Source organism: Homo sapiens, chromosome 3, assembly GCF_000001405.40.
Source record: "Homo sapiens chromosome 3, GRCh38.p14 Primary Assembly".
Lineage (NCBI taxonomy): Eukaryota > Metazoa > Chordata > Mammalia > Primates > Hominidae > Homo > Homo sapiens.
Window position 1 is genome coordinate 196,291,219 of NC_000003.12, and position 25,692 is coordinate 196,316,910.

General features: G+C 44.4%; 1 protein-coding gene and 2 long non-coding RNA genes across 4 annotated transcripts in view, besides 1 other annotated feature; all 3 read right to left on the reverse strand.

The window, feature by feature from the left end:
* DYNLT2B (dynein light chain Tctex-type 2B) overlaps positions 1-25,692 on the reverse strand; it is a 27,022-nt gene continuing 1,330 nt past the window's right edge. Inside the window, exons 2-5 of one of the 2 annotated variants that reach the window (NM_001351628.2) lie at positions 24,880-25,013; positions 15,725-15,794; positions 4,788-4,851; positions 1-151 (exon numbers count right to left, since the gene is read on the reverse strand). In NM_001351628.2, coding sequence (NP_001338557.1) covers positions 86-151; positions 4,788-4,851; positions 15,725-15,794; positions 24,880-25,013 — 334 coding nt within the window. In that variant the 3' untranslated portion in view covers positions 1-85. Of the gene's footprint in view, positions 157-4,787; positions 4,852-15,724; positions 15,795-24,879; positions 25,014-25,692 lie in introns of both variants that reach the window. The other variant, NM_152773.5, reaches the window with a different exon arrangement.
* Positions 1,529-1,618: an enhancer, noted in NCBI's record as "active region_21086". NCBI's record gives its function as "activates an Ori minimal core promoter by ATAC-STARR-seq in GM12878 lymphoblastoid cells {active_cell/tissue: GM12878}" and the evidence as "EXISTENCE:reporter gene assay evidence [ECO:0000049][PMID:35858748]".
* Positions 24,867-25,692, reverse strand: part of TM4SF19-DYNLT2B (TM4SF19-DYNLT2B readthrough (NMD candidate)) — a 22,336-nt gene continuing 21,510 nt past the window's right edge. The window contains exon 6 of the long non-coding RNA NR_037950.1: positions 24,867-25,013. This is a non-coding gene — a long non-coding RNA (TM4SF19-DYNLT2B readthrough (NMD candidate)). The remainder of the gene's footprint in view (positions 25,014-25,692) is intronic.
* Positions 25,224-25,692, reverse strand: part of LOC107986031 (uncharacterized) — a 1,150-nt gene continuing 681 nt past the window's right edge. The window contains exon 2 of the long non-coding RNA XR_001740547.2: positions 25,224-25,624. This is a non-coding gene — a long non-coding RNA (uncharacterized LOC107986031). The remainder of the gene's footprint in view (positions 25,625-25,692) is intronic.

The following is a 25,692-nucleotide window of genomic DNA, read 5'->3' on the forward strand; positions in this document are numbered from 1 at the left end:
TTCAGTTGTCAAACTACTAACATCTTTATTTTGTCAAGATATTTAACAATATTAAAAAGTTCAGATTTCTTCATGGTCATGTCTTTTACCAGCTTTTCAAAGATTCATTCAGTAGTAGAAACAGCCAAATGCTGCTACAACGCAGAATAAACTGTCCTAAAAAATAAATACAACACACACACACATCCAGAATGTTAGTACTAAAGAGGGAATGAGAGCAGCACAGGCAACTGAAACTAACACCATCTCAGATCTTTCCAATTTTTTTTTTCTTTTTTGAGACAGGGTGTCACTCTATCACCCAGGCTGGAGTGCAGTGGTGTGATCTCAGCTCACTGCAGCCTCGACCTCCTACACTCAGGCAATCCTTCTACCTCAGCCTCCAGAGTAGCTAGGACCACAGGTGCCTGCCACCATACCAGGCTAATTTTGTTTATTTTTTGTAAAGATGAGGTCTCACTATGTTGCCCAGGCTGTTCTTGAACTCCTGGGATCAAGCAATCCACCCATGTTGGTCTCCAAAAGTGCTGGGATCATAGGCGTGAGCCACCTCACCCAGCCACCAATTTTCAATCAGGAAGACTTTTTCCTTCTTCAAGAAGTGAAGGGTTTCCAGAGTATAGCTACACTATTGCTTGCCTGAGGGTGACTACAAAATTGCTTGCTAAAAGGTTAGGATGGGTAAAGAATTAGATTTTCTGAATGCAAAAATAAAATGTGAACTAATGAACTTTAGGTAATACATATTCATAAAATAATTATTCACATATTTCCTGATTTATCACAGAAATAATGTATGAAATGCTTTGAGTTTCTTGGAGTAAACTCCATTACTCATCCCAAGAAACCATATTATAAGTATCACTGATAATAAGAACAACAGGACCTTGTCATAAATTCTGGATAAGAGAAATAGTCTCTGGGTGTTTGTTCTTAATTGATAAAATTTACTTGTCCATCTTTTAGTTCAGAATCACAAAATGCTTTCCAGAGCCCAGTCAAATTGCTTAAAACATTTTTAGGCATTTATTACAAGATTTCCACCTGCCTCAGCAACTCCTGCACCACTAACCTCACCTCCAGCCTGGTAATGATGGGATTAAAACAATTCCAACTCAAGTACCTGATGATTAACCAAAAGCAAAATTCTTTGGTTTAGCCCAGCTCCCTGGCTCCTTGGGTGGATAACTCTGAACTGTGTTCTACGACAGTGCTGTGATAAAGGACCTGCTTTGTTTTTAACTTCCGGTCCTTCATGGAAGGATGCTTTTGTAAAATGCAATAAAAATAGGTAACTCAGAACATGAAATGAAAAAAAGGAACATACAAATACAGCCCCAATTTTTTTCTTAGATTCACTGCACAGAAGATTACTTTGTCAAATTGCTGTAAGAGTTTCTAAACCAACCCTTATACTCAGTGTATTGTTTACCTCATCATGGACCTGTAACAAACAGGTCACAGAGCCGTGCTGGTCTGTGCACCCCACTGTGAGTGGCCCTGTTCTACAGCACCACCCAGAGTTCTCCAACAGGACTGAGCCCTGTCATCCAGCAGTTTTCCGCTCAATACCACATGATTTTCCCTCCTTTCTCATTTCCTCTGCCTCTACTAATGTTTCCTGGAATCTCCCAAATAAAGTGCTTTTTTTTTGAGACAGAGTCTTGCCCTCTCGCCCAGGCTGGAGTGCAGTGGCACAATCTTGGCTCACTGCAACCTCCGCCCTCTGGGTTCAAGCAATTCTCCTGCCTCAGCCTCCCAAGTAGCTGGGACTACAGGCGCCCGCCACCTTGCCCGGCTAGTTTTTGTATTTTTAGTAGAGATGGGGTTTCACCATGTTGGCCAGGCTGGTCTTGAACTCCTGACCTCAGGTGATCCACCCGCCTCGGCCTCCCAGAGTGCTGGGATTACAGGCGTGAGCCACCACACCCAGCCTAAAGTTTTTTATTACATATTTGTTCATTTGAGTATTGAGTGGCCCCCACTGGATGTTAATAGGCAGAAACCATGCCTGTCTTATTCATCATTTTGTCCCTAGCCCCTCAGGTGCAGAAGCTGACACATAATAGGAGCTCAGAACTATTTGTTGAATGAATGAATTGTATCATCTAAAGATGCATTTTTTGGCCAGGCCCAGTGGCTCATGCCTGTAATCCCAGCACTTTGGGAGGCCAAAGCAGGCAGATCACCTGAGGTCAGGAGTTGGAGACCAGCCTGACCAAATAGTGAAACCTTGTCTCTACTAAAAAATACAAAAATTAGCCGAGCGTGGTGGCATGCACCTGTAGTCCCAGCTACTCGGGAGGCTGGGGCAGGAGAATTACTTGAACCTGGGAGGCAGAGGTTGCAGTGAGCCGTGATGGCACCACCACTCTCCAGCCTAGGTGACAGAGTGAGACTCCGTCTCAAAACAAACAAACAAGATGCATTTTTTTTTTTTTTTTTGAGACAGAGTCTCGCTCTGTCTCCAGGCTGGAGTACAGTGGCACAATCTCGCCTCACTGCAACCTCTGCCTCCCAGGTTCAAGCAATTCTCCTGCCTCAGCCTCCCGAGTAGCTGGGATTACAGGCACCCAACACCACACCTGGCTAATTTTTGTATTTTTAGTAGAGACGGGGTTTCAGCATGTTGGCCAGGATGGTCTCAATCTCTTGACCTCATGATCCGCCCGCCTCGGCCTCCCAGAGTGCTGGGATTACAGGCATGAGCCACCGTGCCTGGCAAAAAAAACCATCTTCTTAGCTTGACTATTCCCCCAAAGATAGCTGATAAATTAAGATTTACATAGTACTTCCCACTGTCCAGCCCCTGATCCCTAGGGTAGTTAAGCATAAAATAAAACTTTGGTGGGGCTGGGCGCAGTGGCTCACGCCTATAATCCCAGAACTCTGGGAGGCCGAGGCGGGCCGATCACCTGAGGTCGGGAGCTCCAGACCAACCTAACCGACATGGAGAAACCCTGTCTCTACTAAAATTACAAAATTAGCCAGGTGTGGTGGTGCATGCCTGTAATCCCAGCTACTCGGAAGGCTGAGGCAGGACACTTCAACCCGGGAGGTGGAGGTTGTGGTGAGCTGAGATTGTGCCATTGCACTCCATCCTGGGCAACAAGAGCAAAATTCTGTCTCAAAAAATAATAAAAATAAAAATAAAACCTTGGTGAGACCATAGAATTTTAGAGCTAAAAGCTACCTTAAAATCATCTACATAAGCAGTGTCCATATCTGGCAGTCAGCAGAATCATGGGGAACTTTTTAAATATTCTGATTCACTGATCTAACCCCTGGCCTATTTGATCAGAATCTATTTGAATAGGGACCCAGCGTCTATATTTTAAACAACTTCCCAGATGATCCTTAGGCAGTCACAGCCAGTCTTTGGGAAAATGTACTTCAGCTTCCTAATGTCACTGATACAATGTGAGAAAAATCCAATGACTTACCTGAAGTCATTCAATTAGAAAGTGACAGAACTGGAGATGGAATCCCCCTCTTATTTCTTTTTACTTTTTTCTTTTTTCTTTTTTTAATTTTTGAGACAGAGTCTTGCTCTGCTGCCCAGGCTGGAATGCAGTGGTGCGATCTCAGCTCACTGGAACCTCCGCCACCAGGTTCAAGCAATTCTCCTGCCTCAGCCTCCCAAGTAGCTGGGATTACAGGCGTGCACCACCACACCCGGCTAATTTTTTGTGTGTGTGTTTTTAGCAGAGAAGAGGTTTCACAATGTTGGCCAGGCTGCTCTCAAACTCTTGACCTCAAGTGATCCACATGCCTCGGCCTCCCAAAGTGCTGAGATTACAAGCGTGAGCCACCCCACCTGGCCTCACTCTCTTAATTTACTCAATCTAGTTTCTGTTCTACTCTAACTCTGACTCTATGTATTCACAACCTGGGAGTAGACGAATAGAGGATGCAATCCTTTCTGGAGTAAATATAAAATAATAACTTCAATGAAACCTCTTTTATGTGTGTGTGTGTGTCACCCAGGCTGGAATACAGTGGCACAATCTCAGCTCACTGCAACCTCTGCCTCCGGGGTTCAAGCGATTCTCCTGCCTCAGCCTCCTGAGTAGCTGGGATTACAGGTGCCCGCCACCATGCTCGGCTAATTTTTATATTTTTAGTAGAGACAGGCTTTCACCATGTTGGCCAGGCTGGTCTTGAACTCCTGACCTCAGGTGATCCGCCCTCCTTGGCCTCCCAAAGTGCTGGGATTATAGGCATGAGCCACCGCGCCTGGCCTGAAACATCTTTTTAAAGATTCCTCTTTATTTTTGCTTAATTTTAATAAATGGCTTTAAGATAAAGTAATAAATTTTACTACTAAAAAAAAATGACCTTTGCTCATGGAATCCCTGCCATCCACATTTGTTTGCAACTTAGCAAAGTGTGATTGGTTCAAATGAACAAATAAGTGATTTTAAAATTTTAGTTATAAATTATTACTTTAATAAGGATTATCAGGATTGAGTTTTAGAACACTGATTTATGGAGGAAGTGGCTAAAAATAATGTTTAAATAATATGCTAACTAAATAATATGCTATTCAGAAATTCAAACCCATGAAAAATTATGTCATATGTAAACATGTAAGTTTCCTTGCCTATAAGCAGCACTCTAGGTTTCTGCTTTAGTAACACAAAAACTAACAGTAAAATCATTTCATTCACAAGTCAAAGATGAATGACTAAGACAGCAGTGTCTTTCCATCCCAATCAACAGTAAATAGTTTGATTTGCGGTGCCCACGTTCTTAGAAAGGGAAAAGAGGTTTCCAAATACACTTACATTCATGAAAACATCATGAGTATAGTTGTCAGTGTCAGCATCCCAGAAACAGCGAGAAGCCATGCTAAAAAATCCAAGAATGAAGAATTATCAACAATCTAACAAGGACCTAAACGACACATATCTGCCACGAGAAACAGTGTTCCTTAATACATTCTCATAGATCTGTACTTCCAAACCTTTCACAGGTAGGTACCCACAGAGTATTGTATTTGTACCAGAGAGTATACTGGGTAAACCGGAGAAACTAGAGTCAGATGAAGCTGCTTGCAACTAGAGGTGACCAGCCAGGTACTCTGACAGCCTCAGACCCTACCTGATGGCTACAGGGATCAATACTAGAGATTTGTGTGTGACTTTTAATGAGCTCAGCTCCTGCACAATAACAGGACGAGGAAGGCACAGAAAGAGCCCAACAGATTTAGTCCAACCTGATCATTTTATAGAGTCCCAGAAAAAGGAGCAAACTCTGAACTAGAATTCAGTCTTCTAACGAATTATAACTCCAAAAATATCTCTACAGAATGCTAAACTACCTTGAAATTGGCTATTCTCCTCTCTGCAATTCTTGGATAAGAAAAAAATATTAGTCAAAATAAAAGCCAATTAAAAATGGAAACAACTTAAATGCCCAATAGGACTGGATTGGTAAATGAAATTATGGTATTTCTCAGGATCTGGGAGAATTTTTTAAAAAAAGAAAAAAGAAATAATGATGTTTTCTGGCAATGAAATTCTATGTAGACCTTAAAGAAAAGTTTTGCAAGACACAGTGACGTGTCCCTGTAGTCCCAGCAACTCAGGAGGCTGAGACAGGGAGTATCATTTGAGCCCAGGAGTTCAGGGATGTAGTATGTGAAGATCACACCTGTGAACAGCCACTGCACTTCAGCCTGGGAGACACAGCAGGACCCTGGCTCTTAAAAAAAAAACAATTCTGCACTTTGGGAGGCCAAGGCGGGCAGATCACGAGGTCGGGGGATCGAGACCATCCTGGCTAACACGGTGAAACCCCATCTCTACTAAAAATACAAAAAATTAGCCAGGCGTGGCGGCAGGCACCAGTAGTCCCAGCTACTCAGGAGGCTGGTGTGAACCTGGGAGGCGGAGCTTGCAGTGACCTGAGATAGCACCACTGCACTCCAGCCTGGGAGACACAGCAGGACCCTGGCTCTTAAAAAAAAAATTCCAAGAACATGAAAAGCTATTCACAATATAATGTTGAGTGAAAAAAATAGGCTGGGCATGGTGGCTCACACCTGTAATCCCAGCACTTTGGGAGGCTGAGGTGGGCGAATCACCTGAGGTCAGGAGTTCGAGACCAGCCTGCCCAACATGGTGAAACCCCATCTCTACTAAAAATACAAAAATTGGCTGGGCATCGTGGCACACGCCTGTAATCCCAGCTACTCGGGAGGCTGAGGCAGGAGAATCACTTGAACCCAGGAGGTGGAGGCTGCAGTGAGCCAAGATTGTGCCACTGCACTCCAGCCTTGGCGACAGAGTGAGACTCTGTCTCAAAAACTAATAATAAATAATAATAATAAGTGAAAAAAAAATTACAAATGTTTTACATTTCTATTAAACGTATGTGTATGATTTATCATGCAAACACTTATTGAGCACTTACTTTGTGCCATTCACTAGTCTAAGTGTTTTACGTGTATTAACTCACTGAATCCTATGAGGTACTATAATTTTACCCATTTAGTGAATGTGACAAATGAGGATTAGAGAAATTAAGTGTACAAGGTCATACAACTAGGTAACAAAGCTTGGCTTTGCACCCAGGCAGTTCACAACCCATACCCACAGAGAAACATACACATATACCTTATATTATATTGGTTCTTTTTTTTCCTGAAACAAAAGGTCTCACATATTTATTACTGAACCCAGCCTACTATCGCAGGGCATATAAGCAAAGAGAAAAAATATATTCCCAATAAAACACGTCCAACTGTTCAGACAGTGGTGACGTTTTCAGCTTGCTATAGTAAGATGGCCGTGACCTTGATACAGCGTGAATATGTGTGCCAGCTCACGTGCAGTTCCTTATAGACCCAGCTTGGCTGTTCTGCAATGTCTCCTTTCCAGTTGTGCCTGATTTTATTACCAGTTTTCAACCAGATCCACTGGAGAATGGGACGATTTGGCTTTTGTTTCTTGGCCAGGAATCGCTTACTCTTAAAAGACTTGTGAGAAGACATGACAAGAAGCAGAATCAAGCACACACCACAAGAGAGAGTTGTTTGTTTTTTGAGACAAAAATATAAAATAGTGAGACCCCAATTGTTTTATTTATTTATATTTTATTTTTATTTTTTGAGAGGGAGTCTCACTCTGTCAACCAGGCTAGAGTGCAGTGGCACAATCTCAGCTCACTACAACCTCCACCTCCCGGGTTCAATGATTCTCCTGCCTCAGCCTTCCGAGTAGCTGGGACTACACACGTGCATTACCACGCCTGGCTAATTTTTATATTTTTTGTAGAGACAGGGTTTCACCATGTGGGCCAGGCTGGTCTCAAACTCCTGAGCTCAAGCAATCGGCCCACCTCAGCCTCCCAAAGTGCTGGGATTACAGGTGTGACTTGGAAAAAGTGTAATGGTACAGTTTGTAGCAGGCTAATAATGCTCCCACCAAGAACAGTAAGAAAAGCTGGATAAAATGAATCAGGGAGCTGCCAAAGCAAACAGGCCTAGAGGAGCCAAAATTCCAGAAAGAGGTGAACTCTAGGAGGTAAGCTGATATTCCGCAGCAGATTTTTTTCCTGGAGGATTTGCCAATTCAGGGCACAGGGCTAGATGCTGAGAATCTGGGCCTTGCTCAGGTAAAGAACAAATTACTGAGGGAAAATTTAACTAGTAGGAGAGTTGGCAGTCTTTACTTTTTAAAATTTTTTTATTTATTAATTTTACTTTGAGACAGAGTCTTGCTCTGTCACCCAGGCTGGAGTGCAGTGGCACGATCTCAGCTCACTGCAACCTCTGCCTCCCCAGGCCAAGCACTTCTCATGTCTCAGCCTCCCGAGTAGCTGGGATAACAGGCATGCACCACCATGCCTGGCTAATTTTTTTTTTTCTTTTTTTTTTTTGAGATGGAGTTTCACTCTGTTGCCCAGGCTGGAGTGCAGTGGCACAATCTTGGCTCACTGCAACCACAACCTCCCGGGTTGAAGCAATTATCCTACCTCAGCCTCCCAAGTAGCTGGGACTACAGGCACCCACCACCACGCCCGGCTAATTTTTGTATTTTTAGTAGAGACGGGGTTTCACCATGTTGGGCAGGCTGGTCTCGAATTCTTGACCTCAAGTGATCCACCGGCCTCGGCCTCCCAAAGTGCTGGGATTACAGGCATGAGCCACTGTGCTTGGCCCTAATTTTTTGTATTTTTGGTAGAGACGGGGTTTCACCATATTGCCCAGGTTGGTCTCCAACTCCTGAGCTCAGGCAATCTGCCCGCCTTGGCCTTCGAAAGTGGTAGGATTACAGGAGTGAGCCACTGTGCCCAGCAGAGTCGGCAGTCTTAACAAAGCTAAGGAGGTAAAATCAGATTCTGGAGGGAAGATCCCATAAAAAAGGAGAAAGTAGAACTGAGCGTATCACATGGTAGGTTTTCTTTTCAAGACATGCTGAATTCAGGCCGGGCACAGTGGCTCGCGCCTGTAATCCCAGCACTTTGGGAGGCTGAGGCAGGCGGATCACGAGGTCAGGAGATCGAGACCATCCTGGCTAACGTGGTGAAACCCCGTCTCTACTAAAAATACAAAAAATTAGCCGGGTGTGGTGGCGGGCGCCTGTAGTCCCAGCTACTCGGGAGGCTGAGGCAGGAGAATGGCGTGAACCCAGGAGGCGGAGCTTGCAGTGAGCCGAGATGGCACCACTGCACTCCAGCCTGGGCAACAGAGTGAGACTCTTTCTCAAAAATAGAATAAAATAAAATAAAGTAACTAGTATGACTAAATCACAAGGGTCCTTACAAAAGAAAGAGGGAGTAGGTGGGTCAGAGTCAGAGAGTTGAAGATGCTGTGCTGCTGGCTTTGAAATTGGAGGAAACGGCTTATGGGCTAAGGAGTTCAGGGGCCTCTAACTGGAACAGACGAGGAAATGGATTCAGTCTTAGAGCCTCCAGAAGGAATGCAGCCCTGCTGACATCTTCATTTTAGTTCAATGAAACCCATTTTGGATTTCTGATCTCCAGAACTGTAAAGTAATATATTTGTGCCATTTTCAGCACTGAGTTTGTGATAATTTGTTACGGCAGCAACAGGAAACTAGTACACTAAGGAAAAAGCCTCTGACATGAAGAGCAAAGTTTTATGCTGAGGAGACAAGATCTGAAAGTCAGCACCTGTTGGAGGTAGAGGCCTGCAGAGGCCTAATGAACATTCGAGGTTCTTGGTTGAAAGACTTGGAGGGCTACAATTAAGAAACAAGGGGGCCAGGCACAGTGGCTCACGCCCATAATCCCAGCAGTTTGGGAGGCCAAAGTGGGTGGATCACCTGAGGTCAGGAGTTTGAGACCAGCCTGGCCAACATGGTGAAACCCCATCTCTACTGAAATACAGAAATTAGCCGGGCGTGGTGGCGTGCGTCTCTAATCCCGGTTACTCAGGAGGCTGAGGCAGGAGAATCACTTGAACCCGGGAGGCTGAGGTTGTGGTGAGCCAAGATCATGCCATTGCACTCCAGCCTGGGCAACAAGAATGAAACTCTGTCTCCAAAAAAAAAAAAAAAAAAAAAATAGAAACAAGGGTGAGGCTGGGTGTGGTGGCTCACACCTATAATCCTAGCACTTGGGCACTTGGGGAGGCCAAGGCAGGAGAATCACTTGAGCCAAGGACTTCAAGACCAGCCTGGGCAACATGGTGAAACCCCATCTCAACAAAAACATACAAAAATTAGTTGGGCGTGGTGGCTCATGCCTACGGTCCCAGCTACTTGGGAGGCTGAAGCAGGAGGATCACTTGAGCCCAGGAGCCAGAGGTTGCAGTGAGCTGAGATCGCACCACTGCACTCCAGCCTGGGCAACAGAGTTGAGACTCTGTCTCAAAAAAGAAAAAAAAAAGGGATGAATTTAAGATAGGGCCTTTTTAAAACCACAACTCTCAGATGAGTTGGCACAAGAAAAGAAAATTTTTTAAAAAGATAAAACTGTAACCCAACCTCAATTCAGCTCAGTACCTGAAGCTAAGCGGCCAATACTCTTCCTGCACAGCAGAAGAGAGAGTTAAGTCCTTTCTGGAAGAAAATAATATCATCTGGAGGTCTATAATTCTTTTAAGCAATATCTAAGATTCAAACTAGGCATGCCAAGAGACAAAGCCATATACATGATTATCAAGAAAAATACAATGGAAACAAACTCACACATGACCCAGATACCAGAGTAAGCATATAACAACATAAAAATAACTACTGTGGCTGGGCGCAGTGGCTCATGCCTGTAATCCCAACACTCTGGGAGGCTGAGCGGGGCAGATCACTTGAGATCAGGAGTTCCAGATAAGCCTGGTCAACATGGTGAAATCCTGTCACTACTAAAAATACAAAAACTAGGCGGGTGTGGTGGTGGGCACCAGTAATCCCAATTACTCGGGAGGCTGAGGCAGGAGAATTGCTTGAACCTGGAAGGTGGAGGCTGCAGTGAGCAGAGATGGCGCCACTGCACTCCAGCCTGGGTGACAGAGTGAGACTCTGTCTCAAAAATAAAATAAAATAAAATAATTAGTATGACTAAAATGTAAAAATAGAGTGGGGAGGGTTAAAAAAGATTGAAGGATAAAGCCTTTTACTAGATAACTGAAATCTATAAAAACTAAATGTAAATTCCCAAACTGAAAGATACAATAACTGAAATTAAGAACTCAGGTTATGGGTTTAACTGCAGATCAGATGCAACAGAAAAGAGGATGATTGACCTAAAAGGCCAATAGAAAAATATACAAATTGGCCAGGCACGGTGGCTCACGCCTGTAGTCTCTGCTACTTGGGAGGCTGAAGCACGAGAATCGCTTAAACCCAGGAGGTGAAGGTTGCGATGAGTCGAGATCACACCACTGCACTCCAGCCTGGGTGACAGAGCGAGACTCCGTCTGAAAAAAGAAAAAATATATAAACTGAAGCACAGAGAGGAAATAGAAAAATCAGAAAAAAGCATAAGAGACATGTGGAATACTGAGAAAAGACCAAACATACATGTAACCTAAATCCTAAAAAGAGAGCGGAGTGGAAGGGGCAGCAGCAGTGTTTTAAAAGAGAACGGCTACCTCTAGGGCCCCAAGCTTAGTTTCTAATGCCATTCTCCAACACATTGAACAGGGGCTCCTTGGAGAAATGGCTGAATTGTAGGGCTGGGGTAGGGAATGAACACAGTGGAGCTTCTGATAGTGCTGGAAAGTAAGGAAGTGCTCAAAGAAACCCACAATAGTAGAGTCAGTGGGACACAGGAATCCACTGAAAGCTCTCAATGGCCAAGCTGGAACAATTAGAACTACAAAATAAATAAAGTAGTATTGAATAATCATCCAAAGTATAAAATATCCATGAGTCCATGTTGAAATAAATGACAGAATACATAAATAAATGGGAGAGGAGAGACAAATTTCCTGTGCTGAAAATTCCAAAGAATTTACGCAGATACGATGCCCTTGAGGAGGTGGGTCATAACTCCCTGCTCTTTCAGTGTGGGCTGCACACGATGATTTCCTCCTAATGAGTACAGGATGAACACGGAGGAAATGAAACCGCCTTTGCAAAATGATGACTGAGACAGTGAAAGAGATCCAACCTAACCGACTCCATCTTGCGTCTAACCTCCAAGCTGCCCTTGTTCATTCCTGGGCGTAGGCTGAACTAACTTGGGGGGAAACTTAATTTATAGTTTAAAACAAAGACGGTAACAGCCCTTTCCCAAAGCAGACCTCCTTCTTGCCGGGGGACTAGACTAACATTAGTCACAAGATTAGAAATGATGGTTTAGGAGCCATGCAGCTGGAGGCTACAAGATTCTGACCCTCCCTACACTGCTCCTAAGATCAGCGCTTGAGATATTTTGCAGACCCTGCACTTGATGGATCAGCTGGCACCACCCAGATGGATAAACTGGCTCATCTGATCTTGTGGCCCCGACCCAGGAACTGACTCAGCACAAGAAGACAGCTGACTCCCTGTGATTCCATCCCTGATCAATCAGCACTCCCGGCTCACTGGCTCTCCACACCCACCAAGCTGTCCTTAAAAACTCTGCTCCCCGAATGCTGGGAGAGACTGATTTGAGTAATAATAAAACTCCGGTCTCCCGCACAGCCGGCTGTGCGTGAATTACTTTTTCTCTATGGCAATTCCCCTGTCATGATGAATCGGCTCTGTCTAGGCAGCGGGCAAGTGAACCCACTGAGCAGTTATAGAAAGAGTAAGTTTATAGTAAAGAAACCTGAGAAGCATTAGCTCAGGCAGGGAGGCAAAGTTCATATGAACAGTAACATGTCATGTTGACAGTATGTACCATTGATATGATATGACGAGAATGGCGTCTTACCTCTGTGATCTTCCTTCCAAAAACCTGTAACCTCAGACTAATCATTAGCAGAAAAATCCCAGTGAAGGAACATTCTACAAAACACCTAACCAGTACTCCTCAAAAAAGTCAAGGTGATGAAAAACAAGAAAGTCTGAGAAACTGTTACCGCCAAGAAGAGCCCAAAGAGACATTTAATGTGGTATCCTAGATAGAATCCTAAAGCAGAAAAAGGACATTAGGAACAAACTAGAAATCAGAACAAAGCTTTATTTGATAACACTGTATCAATATTGTTTCATTAATTATAATAAATGTTCCATACTATGTAGATGTTAACCATAGGGAGTCCGGGTGCGGTAGATGATGCCTGTAACCCCAGTGTTTTGGGAAGCCGAGGCAGGAGGACTGGTTAAGCCCAAGAGGTCAAAGCTGCAGTGAGCCACGGTTGCACCACTGCACTCCAGCGTGGGCGACAGAGCAAGAACTGTCTCAATAGCATAATTACTATTCTTACAGTAACAGGGAAACTGGGTGTGGAGTATACGCTAACTCTGCAACTTTTCTATAAATCTAAAACTATTTTAAAATAAAAACTTGGTTTTTTTATTTTTTTATTTTTTGAGATAGAGTTTCACTCTGTTCCCCAGGCTGGAGTGCAGTGGCGTGATCTCAGCTCACTGCAACCTCCACCTCCCAGGTTCAAGCAATTCTCCTGCCTCAGCCTCCAAGTGGCTGGGGTTACAGGTGTGCACCACCATGCCCGGCTAATTTTTTGTAATTTTAGTAGAGACAGGGTTTCGCCAGGTTGGCCAGGCTGGTCTCGAACTCCTGACCTCAAGTGATCCACCCACCTCGGTCCCCCAAAGGGCTGAGATTACAGGTGGGAGCCACTGCACCTGGCCAAAAACTGTTTTTTTTAAACAAAGGTAATGGCTAAGAATTTTCCCAAACTGATAAAAAAAATCAACCTGGCTGGGTGCAGTGGCTCACACTGGTAATCCCAGGACTTTAGAAGGCCGAGCATGGTGTTGGCACCTATACTCCCAGCTACTCGGGAGGCTGAGGCAGGAGAATCTCTTGAACCTGGGAGGCAGAGCTTGCAGTGAGCCAAGATCGCACCATTGCACTACAGCCTGGGAGACAAAAGCGAAACTCCATCTCAAAAAAAAAACAACAAAAAAATCAATCCATAGATTCAAGAGACTCTGAGTGCTCTAAGCAGAATAAATACAAAGAAAGTAATAGTGGCTAGAGAGGACATACCATCTTAAATTGAATAATAAAACTTACAGCTGACTTCTCAACAGAAACAATGGAAACTAGAAGACAAGGTAAGCACTTATCTACCTACCTACCTACCTACCTATCTGAGGCAGGGTCTCACTCTGTCACCCAGGCTGGAGTACAGTGGCACAATCACGGCTTACTGCAGTCTCAACCTTCCTGGGCTCAAGAGGTCCTCCCACCTCAGTCTCTCAAGTAGCTGGGACCACAGGCGTGTGCCACCATGCCCGGCTAATTTTTGTATTTTTTTGTAGAGACAGAGTTTTGCTGTGTTGCCCAGGCTGGTCTGGAACTCCTGGGCTCAAGTGATCCTCCTGCCTCAGCTTCCCAAAGTGCTGGGATTACAGGTGTGAGCCACCACGCCCGGCCCTGATGGGAAACTTTATAATAGATGGATCCATCTGACAATATCTGAACTCCATGATCAACCTTAACAAAGCAAAAAGAGATGACCAGCTATTTTGTACCTTCTGAGAAGATGCAATAGGATGTATAGAAAACAGTATTTCCCCAACCTCAAACCTATGGCTAATTAAGACTAGATCTAACTACTTATTTTCAAGAAGTACAGGAAATAGAAGACATATTAAACAATACCATAGGTATATAATCAGCAACTGCCAGAATATAGGAAACTCTACAGGACAAACAAACCAATTTCTTCAACAAATAAATGGCAGGAAAAAATAAATAAATAAATAACTGACAGGGCACAGTGGCTCACGCCTGCAATCCCAGCACTTTGGGAGGCCAAGGTGGGTGGATCACCTGAGGTCAGGAGTTGGAGACCAACCTGGCCAACATGGTGAAACCCCATCTCTACTAAAAATACAAAAATTACCTGGGCGTGGTGGTGAGCGCCTGTAATCCCAGCTACTCAGGAGGCTGAGGCAGGAGAATCACTTGAACCCGGCAGGCAGAGGTTGCAGTGAGCCGAGATCATGCCACTGCACTCCAGCCTGGGTGAGGAAGCAAGACTGTCATAAAAATAAAATCAAATGGCAGGATTAAAAGAAGAAAGAGAGAAATGAGGCAGCAAAAACAACACATTGAAGTAAATTTAAAGCCAGATGCTGTGGTGTGCACCTATAGTCCCAGCTACCTGGCAGGCTGAGGTGGGAGGATCACTTGAGCCCAGGAGTTCTAGTCTGTAGTGTGTTATGATCACATCTGTGAATAGCCACTGCACTCCAGCCTGGGCAAGATAGCAAGATCTTACGTCTTAAAAAAAAATCCTAATTTACATATTAACCAAATGCAATGTGTGGACCTTGTTTGAATCTTAATTTGAAAAAATTGTAAAAAGAAAATAATAGGTCTGGCATGGTGGTTCAAGCCTATAAGTCCACCACTTTAGGAGGCCAAGGCTGGTGAATTGCCTGAGCCCAGGAGTTTAAGACCAGACTGGCCAACAGAGTGTGACCCATCTCTGCAAAAAAAAAAAAAAAAAAGAAAGAAAGAAAATTAGCCAGGTGTGGTGGTGCACACCTGCAGTCCCAGCTACTCAGGAGGCTGAGGCAGGAGGATCACTTGAGCCCAGGAGGCCAAGGCTGCAGTGAGTTGTGATAGTGCCATTGCACACCAACCTGGGTGACAAAATGAGACCCTGTCTCTTTAAACAAAAAAAAAAGAAAAGAAAGAAAACACATACATACATATATGAGGCATATCTGAATAATAACAGCATATTTTATGATATTAAGGACTGACAATATTTTAGAGATAATAAAGATATTTTATTTATTTATTTTTGAGACAGAGTCTTACTCTGTCACCCAGGCTGGAGTGCAATGACACGATCTTGGCTCACTGCAACCTCCACCTCCTGCGTTGAAGTGATTCTCCTGCCTCAGCCTCCTGAGTAGCTGGGACTACAAGCGCACGCCATCACACCCGGCTAATTTTTAGTAGAGACGGGGTTTCGCCATGTTGGCCAGGCTGGTCTTGAACTCCTGACCTCAGGTGATCCACCCGCCTCAGCCTCCCAAAGTGCTGAGATTACAGGTGTGACCCATCACACCCGGCCCTTCTCACTCTTGTAAAGGCACTCTTACTGAATTGTCCAAAGGACAGATACCTCATAAGAAATATAGATGACTAAAACAAGAAGGAAAATCCAGCTACTCACAATACTCCTTCACCTCTTTGTTCTCCAATCACTACTTGCACCACCATTTTGTATCGGTCAAATCCCATTTCTAGAAAGAAAAAATAAGGTTATTTATAAGCAAATATGTAGTAAAATTACTTATTGAAGACAAATTTGCCCAGAAATGGACATAAACATTCAATCCACAAGTACTTAATGAATATGGTGGTAAGCTTGGGGGTCAGGAGGACGTGAAGGCAGATCCTAACTATAACTCAGCAAGTGTATAACCTCAGAAAGTAATTTAACTTTTCAGTTTAAGTCTCCCTTATTAAACAGGAATATCAGTACCTACCTCCCAAGATTGTTATAAGGTTAGGTAAGATATAGTAGTATCTTTTTTTTGTTTTGTTTTTGAGATGGATTCTCACTCTGTTGCCCAGGCTGGAGTACAGTGGCACGATCTCAGCTCACCGGCAACCTCTGCCTCCAGGGTTCAAGTGATTCTCCTACCTCAGCCTCCTCAGTAGCTGGGACTACAGGTATGCATCACCACACCTGGCTAATTTTTGTATTTTTAGTAGAAAAGGTGTTTCACCATGTTGCCCAGGCTGGTCTCGAACTCCTGACCTCAGGTGATCCACTCACCTTGGCCTCCCAAAGTGCTGGGATTACAGGCGTGAGCCACCGCGCCCGGTCAGATATAGTAATATCTAAAGCATCTAAACAGTGCTGTTAAATACTAGTCCTTCAATAAACCTTAGCTTCCTTCCTTTTTCCCCTACTATAAGTCAGCTAGTGAGCTGAACCTTCAAGATAGAGAAATAAATAAGACGTTTTTCTTGCCTTAAAGAACTCACAGTAATAAAGAACTCAAAGGAAAATAGAAAAATAGGCCGGGCACGGTGGCTCACGCCTGTAATCCCAGCACTCTCAGAAGGTGAGGCCAGTGGATCACCTGAGGTCAGGAGTTTGAGACAAGCCTGGCCAACATGGTTAAGCCCCGTCTCTACTAAAAAATATAAAAATTAGCCAGGCATGGTGGCAGATCCCTGTAACCCCAGCTACTCGGGAGGCTGAGGCAGGAGAATTGCTTGAACCTGGGAGGCGGAGGTTGCAGTGAGCTGAGATCGCACCATTGCACACTAGCCTGGGTAACAAGAGCAAAACTCCATCTCGAAAAAAAAAAAAAAAAAGAAAATAGAAAAATAAATTATAAATTGAGTATGCTTATAATTCAAGGAGTGGCATGTATGATGTACATCAGGAACACAGAGCCAGTGGGGGCAGTTCCTCTGTTTGTCTGGGCAGTGGCAAGAAATCACTGGAAAAGACTTCTTGGAAGATGTGGCCGGCCAATAAACTGAGTCTTGAGGGCTGAGTAAGAGGGGACCAGGTCAGCCCCATCTCCCCACACGTCCGAGAACGAGGGGCATGTGCACAGCAGGAGAGCATGGGATCTCCAAGAAACTGTAAGCTGTTCAGTAAGACAGACAAGAAAAAAAATGAAGATTCCAGAGCAAAACGAGGTGATCCAGCACCATTTAGCTGTTTACTCCAGAAACTACGTTGCTAAAGCAGCAAAATCCTGAAAATTCTCACTAACACCAAGTCTGAAGAGAAAAAAATGGAATGGGCATTTTTGAATCTTTCTACTTTTTTGACCAAGGAATAGTGGAAAGAGTTTTAAAAAAACAAAAGAAGTGAAATAAGCGAAGCTGAAAGAGCCAGCTCTCTCTGATGAACGTGCAGGTTCCAAGATTACACTGTAAACGGGACAATCTGAAGACTACAGGCAATCTCCCATGTGGGGCATGAACCTGATTCAGAGTGTGTAAAGACAGAGTCCAAGTTATTTTTAAAAAACACTGCACACAACTCAGCTGAGCTTCCTCCTTTCTCTAACCAATCCCAAATTATACAGAAATGTGTCTAGAATAATACTCAGCCCTTAAATCACGGTTCTGAGGGGAAAATAAAATAGTCTCAGATATGGTGGGGAGGGGAACTTAAAAAAAAAACCCACACCATATCAGAGCAATTAAAAATCCCCCACATCATATCAGAGCAATTAAAAATCCCCCACATCATATCAGAGCAATTAAAAATCCCCCACATTATATCAGAGCAATTATGATGTATGGGCACAACAAAATGAAATGCAGCCAAATGGCAATAAACAAAGATGCAATAGCAAAAACAAAAGAGTAACAAAGAAGAACAAAGCTTCTGCTGGGTGCCATGGCTCACGCCTGTAATCCCAGCAATTTTGGAGGCTGAGGCGGGAGGATCTCTTAAGGCCAGAAGTTCAAGACCAGCCTAGGCAGCATGACAAGACCACCATCTCCACAAAACAATTTTTCTTTTTTTCTTTTTTTTGAGATGGAGTTTCACTCTTGTTGCCCAGGCTGAAGTGCAATGGCGTGATCTCAGGTCACCACAAACTCTGCCTCCTGGGTTCAAGCAATCTTCCTGCCTCAGACTCCCGAGTAGCTGGGATTACAGGCATGAACCACCACACTTGGCTACTTTTGTATTTTTAGTAGAGATGGGGTTTCTCCATGTTGGTCAGGTTGTTCTCGAACTCCTGACCTCAGGTGATCCATCTGCCTCGGCCTCCCAAAGTGCTGGGATTACGGACGTGAGCCACCACACCTGGTCCACAAAACAATTTTTCAAAAAATATTGAAGAAAAGAAAGAAACTTCCAGTGGAAGGAAGGAAGAAGGAAGGAAAGAAGGAAGGAAGGAGCTGTGTAAGAGAAAAAATTTGGCTGGGCACGGTGGCCCACACCTGTAATCCCACTTTGGGAGGCTGAGGCGGGTGGATCACTTGAGGTGAGGAGTTTGAGACCAGCCTGAACAACATGGAGAAATCCCATCTCTACTAAAAATACATTAGCAGGGCGTGGTGGTGCACGCCTGTAATCCCAGCTACTTGGGAGGCTGAGCAGGAGAATCGCTTGAACCTGGGAGGTGGAGGTTAAGGTGAGCCAAGATTGCGCCATTGCACTCCAGCTTGTGCAACAAGACCGAAACTCAGTCCAAAAAAAAAAAGAAAAGAAAAGAAAGAAAAAAATCAACCTAGGAAGTAATACAAATCAAGGAACGAAGAGTTATTCCTCACAATTAATTCACAATACTAGAACAATGTAAGCTTATAAACTCAATGAAATAAGTACTCAATCAGGTTATCAAATTTTTTAACTTTTTTTTTGGAGACAGAGTTTCGCTCTTCTGCCCAGGGTGGAGTGCAATGGCAAGATCTAGGCTCACTGCAACCTCCACCTCCCAGATTCAAGCAATTCTCATGCTTCAGCCTCCCAAGTAGTTGGGATTATAGGCATGCGCCATCACGCTCGGCTAATTTTTTTTTTTTTTTGCATTTTTAGTAGAGACGGGATTTCACCATCTTGGTCAGGCTGGTCTCGAACTCCTGACCTCAGGTGATCCACCTACCTCGGCCTCCCAAAGTGCTGGGATTACAGGCGTGAGCCACCGCACCTGGCCAGGTTATGATTTTGTTTGATTTGGTTTGGTTTTTTGAGAGGGAATCTCGCTCTGTCGCTCAGGCTGGAGTGCAGTGGGATGATCTCAACTCACTGCAACCTCCACCTCCTGGGTTCAAGCGATTCTCCCACCTGAGCCTTCTGAGTAGCTGGGATTACAGGCACGCACCACCATACCTGGCTAAATTTTATATTTTAGTAGAGACACGGTTTCACCATGTTGCCCAGGCTGGTCTGGAACTCCTGACCTCAAGTGATCCACCTGCTTCTGCCTCCCAAAGTTCTGGGATTACAGGCGTGAGCCACCTCACCTGGCCTGTTTTGTTTTGTTTTTGTTTTTTTGGAGATAGGGTCTCCCTCTGTCACCCAGGCTGGAATGCAGTGGGGCGATCTCGGCTCACTGCAACCTCCGCCTTCTGGGTTCAAGTGATTCTCCTGCCTCAGCCTCCCAAGTAGCTGGAACCATAGGCGTGCACCACCACGCCTGGCTAATTCTTTGTATTTCAGTAGAGACGAGGTTTCACCATGTTGCCCAGGGTGGTCATGAACTCCTGAGCTCAGGCAATCCACCCGCCTCGGCCTCCCAAAGTGCTGGGATTACAGGTGTGAGCCACGGCACCCAGCCTCAATCAGGTTATTAAGCAACATAAAGAGATGAAAAGAAAGACCACGGCCCTAGGGAACAAACAGAATACCCAGAAAAGATCATTCCAGAACTAATAAATTCAAAATGGCAAGAAAAAAGACACAAATGAAAACAATTACTGGTTTAAGAAAATCACAAGTAAATGGCAATAAAAAAGGAAGAAGCCTGGGCAAAATGGCAAAACCCCGTCTCTACAAAAAATACAAAAATTAGCCGGGTGTGGTGGCAGGCGCCTGTAGTCCCAGCTACTTGGGAGGCGGAGATGGGAGGATTGCTTGAGGCTGCAGTGAGCCAAGACTGCGCCACTGCATTCCAGCCTGGCCAACAGAGTGAGACCCTGTCTCAAAAAAAAAAAAAGAAGAAGAAAGAAATTATGGGAAAGAAAAACTAATAAATATAGAAGACAAAGATGGCTCAACATAACAATATTTGGTGTCCTGAAGAAAAGGAAGTAACGAATGGAATAGGAAACATATTCAGAGATATAAGGAAATTTCCTTTATATGGAAAGAATAAAGTCTGCAGATTGAAAGCTATAAAATGCTCATTAGAAAGTCAGAATCTTTAGAAAAGCTACTGAGCATAAAGGTGAAGATGAGGATTATTTTATTTATTTATTTATTTATTTATTTATTTATTTATTTTGAGACAGAGTCTCGCTCTGTTGCCCAGGCTGGAGTGCACTGGCACGATCCCAGCTCACTGCAACCTCCTTCACCCCCCAGGTTCAAGCAATTCTCCTGTCTCAGCCTCCCAAGAAATCCCAGCACTTTGGGAGGCCGAGACGGGTGGGTCACCTGAGGTCAGGAGTTTGGGACTAGCAAGCCCGGCTAATTTTTGTTTTGTTTTTTTGAGACAGAGTTTCGCCCTTGTTGGCCAGGCTTGAGTGCAATGGTGCAATCTTGGCTCACTGCAACCTCTGCCTCCTGGGTTCAAGCTATTCTCCTGTCTCAGCCTGGGATTACAGGCATGCGCCACCACGCCTGGCTAATTTTGTATCTTTAGTAGAGACAGGGTTTCTCCATGTTGGTCAGCCTGGTTTCGAACTCACAACCTCAAGTGATCCGCCCGCCTCGGCCTCCCTAAGTGCTGGGATTACAGGCGTGAGCCACCATGCCCAGCCCCTAAATTTTGTATTTTTACTAGAGACGGGGTTTCACCATATTGTTCAGGGTGGTCTCAAACTCCTGACCTCAGGTAACTCACCTGTCTTGGCCTCCCAAAGTGCTGGGAATACAGGCGTGAGCCACCACGTCCAGCCAAAGGTGAGGATTCCTTAAGCAGAGAACATCAAGCTGGGCTCAGATTTCTTGACAACAAGTTACCACTGAATGTCAGAGGGCAATGAAGCACAAGGGTCAAGAAAATAAATTATTACCTCAAAACTATGTATATTCTACTTTTGGGGGTGGAGGGGCGGGGGATGGAGTCTCGCTCTGTCGCCCAGGCTGGAGTGCAGTGGCACTATCTCGGCTCACTGCAGACTCTGCCTCCTGGGTTCAAGTGATTCCCCTGCCTCAGCCTCCCAAGTAGCTGGGATTACAGATGCCCACTACCACGCCCGGCTAATTTTTGTATTTTTCGTAGAGACGGGGTTTCACCATGTTGGCAAGGCTGGTCTCAAACTCCTGACCTCGGGTGATCCACCCGGCTCCGCCTCCCACAGTGCCTGGATTGCAGGCGTGAGCCACCGCGCCTGGCCCATAGTATATTCTACTTTAAAGGCAAAAGGCAGGCATTCTCAAACACAAAAGAATCCAGGGAATACGGCATTTCTGAGTCCTTTCTGAAAACAACTTACAACAAAATCTCATCATCTAGGAGTTGAAATAAGGAACTCTTCCCAGCTAATTGAGAGGCTGAGGCAGGAGAATCACTTGAGCCCGGGAGGTTGAGGCTGCAGTGATCTGAAATCACACCGCTGCACTCCAGCCTGGGTGACGAAGACCCTGTCTCAAAAAAAGAAAATAAGGAACTCAACAATGAAAATGACATGGTCAAGGAACTAAACAGGAGGCAACTGATCCAGTTACAGAATGAATATGACATGACTATGGGAAACAGGTCTACAATATCCCATTGTCATTTGTCCATGTATATGGACATGTAGAAGTCTGTTGTAATGTTTGCCTAGTATTAATGATTTTTTTTTTTTTTTTGAGACAGAGTCTCACTCTGTTGCCCAGGTTGCAGCACAGTGGCATAATCTTGGCTCACTGCAATCTCCGTCCCTGGGCTCAGGTGATCCTCCTGCCTCAGCCACCCGAATAGCTGGGACTACAGATGCACACCACCAGCCCGGCTAATTTTTGTATTTTTCTAAGAGACAGGGTTTTGCCATGTTGGCCAGGATGGTCTCGAACTCCTGGGCTCAAGAGATCCGCCCGCCTCAACCTCCAAAAGTGCTGGAATTACAGGCGTGAGCCACTGTGCCTGGCCAATATTAATGATTGTTTATTGGTGGTGGCATTCAGGTGATTTTTCTCATTTTATTTTTCTAGTGTTTAAATTTTGTATAATGAATGTGTACCATTTTTTACAAAAAATCTTAACGATGAACCTTCATTAAAAAGTCTAAAAACAAAAATGCTAATATACTAACAGCAGTTAATTCTGGGTGATAGAAATACACAGGATTGCTATTCTTTGTACTTTTCTGTATTTTTTAATTTCTTAAACTAAAAACAAATTCAGAAAAAAACAATAAACACAAATATTAAATAGTAACTGCCTTTGGTTAATATTTTAAAACTTTAAGGGGCCAGGCACAGTGGCTCACGCCTGTAATTCCACCACTTTGGGAGGCCGAGGCGGACGGATCACCTGAGGTCAGGAGTTCGAGATCAGCCTGACCAACATGGAGAAACCCCGTCTCTACTAAAAACACAAAAATTAGCCGGGCATGGTGGCACTTGCCTGTAATCCCAGCTACTCAGGAGGCTGAGGCAGGAGAATCGCTTGAACCCAGGAGGCGGAGATTGCAGTGAGCCAAGATCATGCCATTGGACTCCAGCCTGGGCAACAACAGCAAAACTCCATCTCAAAAAAAAACCTTATGGATACTTTTTTGTATTGTCTAGGTTTATTACAACGAGCATGTATTACTTTTATGAAGATATTCTTTCTCTTCAAAAAATGATGTCTTCTAAGAAGAGCAGATGGAAATAGGCCGGGCACGGTGGCTCACATCTGTAATCCCAGCATGTTGGGAGGCCAAGGCTTGCAGATCTCTTGAGGGTCAGGAGTTCAAGACAAAATTAGCCACGTGTGGTGGCGCATGCTTGAAATTCCAACTGCTTGGGAGGCTGAGGCGGGAGGATCACTTGAGCCCAGGAGGAGGAGGTTGCAGTGAGCTGAGATCACACCACTGCACTCCAGCCTGGGAAACAGAGCGAGACTCTGTCTCAAAAAGAAAAAAAAAAAAAAAAAGAACTTTTCAGATCAGACGGTATAACATTATTAACAAAAGAGAGAGACCAGGCGCAGTGGCTCACACCTGCAATCCCAGCAGTTTGCGAGGCCTAGGTGGGAGAATCACTTGAGGCCAGGAGCTCAAGATCAGCCAGGGCAACATGGCAAGACACCATCTCTACAGAAAAATTTAAAAATTAAAAAATTAGCCAAGCACGGTGGCACAAGCCTGTAGACCCAGCTACTTGGGAGGCTGAGATGGGAGGATCGCTTGAGCCAGGAGGTCAAGGCTGCAGTGAGCCATGTTCACACCACTGCACTCCACCCTGGACAAAACAGCAAGACCCTATTTCAAAAACAAAACAAAACAAAAAAAAACAAAACAATCAGAGAGACAAAGAGAACAGGGTAGGAAAAGCACAAAATATGCTCTACAGATGTAGTTTGGTAGGGGTCGAGGGTTGAGTAAGGGAAGTAGCTAAGGATTAGGGAGGAGAGATGGACTGCAGGTACTAAATGCCAGGCTGAGGACTTGACAGCTTGGGGGAAGAAACAACCAAGAAATACAGGGGAAAGGAGTCCCTGTACTTTCTGGTCTTTCTGAATACTAAGATTTTTTGGACAGTGTTTTATTTCACATCTTCACTCTTTTCCCCCATCTGCAAAAACTTACATGAGTAAAAGTCACCAAATAATTAGAGAAGACAAGACACTGAAGAAAAAGTTGTCTTTAATAGAATCCACAGCTAACATTCTATTTACGTTTTTTTAATAGAGATGTTTTATTTTTTTATTTTGCTTTTTTTTTTTTTTGAGACAGAGTCTCACTCTGTCACCCAGGCTGGAGTGCAGTGACGCGATCTCAGCTCACTGCAACCTCCACCTCCTGGGTTCAAGTGATTCTCCTGCCTCAGCCTCCCAAGCAGCTGGGACTGCAGGCGTGTGCCACCACACCCAGCTATTTTTTGTATTTTTAGTAGAGACAGGGTTTCATCGTGTTAGCCAGGATGGTCTCAATCTCCTGACCTCGTGATCCACCCGCCTCAGCCTCCCAAAGTGCTGCGATTACAGGCGTGAGCCACTGCGCCCGGCCTTTATTTTGCTTTTTAATACACATGAGGTCGGCTGGGCGCGGTGGCTCATGTCTGTAATCCCAGCACCTTGAGAGGCCGAGGCGGGTGGATTACCTGAGGTCAGGAGTTTGAGACCAGCCTGACCAACATGGAGAAACCCCGTCTCTACTAAAAATACAAAATTAGCCAGGCGTGATGGTGCATGCCTGTAATCCCAACTACTCAGGAGGCTGAGGCAGAAGAATCACTTGAACCCGGGAGGCGGAGTTTGCAGTGAGCCAAGATCATGCCATTGCACTCCAGCCTGGGCAACAAGAGTGAAACTCCATCTCAAAAAAAAGAAAAATAGACATGAGGCCTCACCATGTTGCCTAGGCTGGTACTGAACTCCAGAGCTCAAGCAATCTTCCTGCCTTGGCATGCTAAAGTGTTGGGATTGTAGGCGTGAGCCACCACACCTGGCCCCAATGTCCTTTGTTTAAAGATGGAGAGGGGGCAAATGGGTAATACTGACTCTGTGAAGAGAATGAGTCATTTCCAGTTATCACCATGATTACCTTTTAATTTATCTTTAATGTTTTCTGATAAATGTTTTGTAAGCTGAGGCATTTCTTCTGGAGAATATTCAGCATTTGCCAGTTCCTCCTTGAGCACAGCATGGATACAGTCTTTAACCACAGAGGGCCTGAACCTGAATGGAACAATTTGTGAACATCCAGTCGGTGACTCCACAACCCCAGCTTACCTTCATACCGCAACTTCTCCCATCTTTTTGTCATTAGTACCACTTAATCCTTCTTTTTCATATTTTTTATTATAAAATATAAACAAATTAAGACAAATCATAGGCCACATGTGTATCTTCAACCTGGACCTGCACTGAACTTCAACACATTCCAACTCATGCTCCATATGAATGTTTATTAGGCAACTCAATACATCCAATAATGAGCTTCTCATACTCCCCTCTCCCCCAAAACAAAATATATACTTGTTGTTAATTTTGTTCTGCACGCTTTCACAAAATAAAATAAAATAAAATAAAATAAAAAAATACGGCTGAATGGCATTCTGGGCATTCAGAACCTTTTACCAAGATAACTGAGGGTATCTTTCTCTGTGTTCATTCTACCCAAGGGAAAAATCCTGTATGAAATTTGTATCACTTTTTCTGTGAGTTACCAAGAGAATAAAAATAAACAAAGAAATTTGTATCACATTATAATCAAAATTCCTGTTTTCCATATTTGCCAAGCAAATATGGGGTGTGTGTGTGTGTGTAAAGTTAGTGATCTTACAAACCTAGCTGAGTACCCTCTGCTCTGGCCCGTGAGCCTGACATTTTTTTCAGTGTGTGTGTGTGTGTGTTG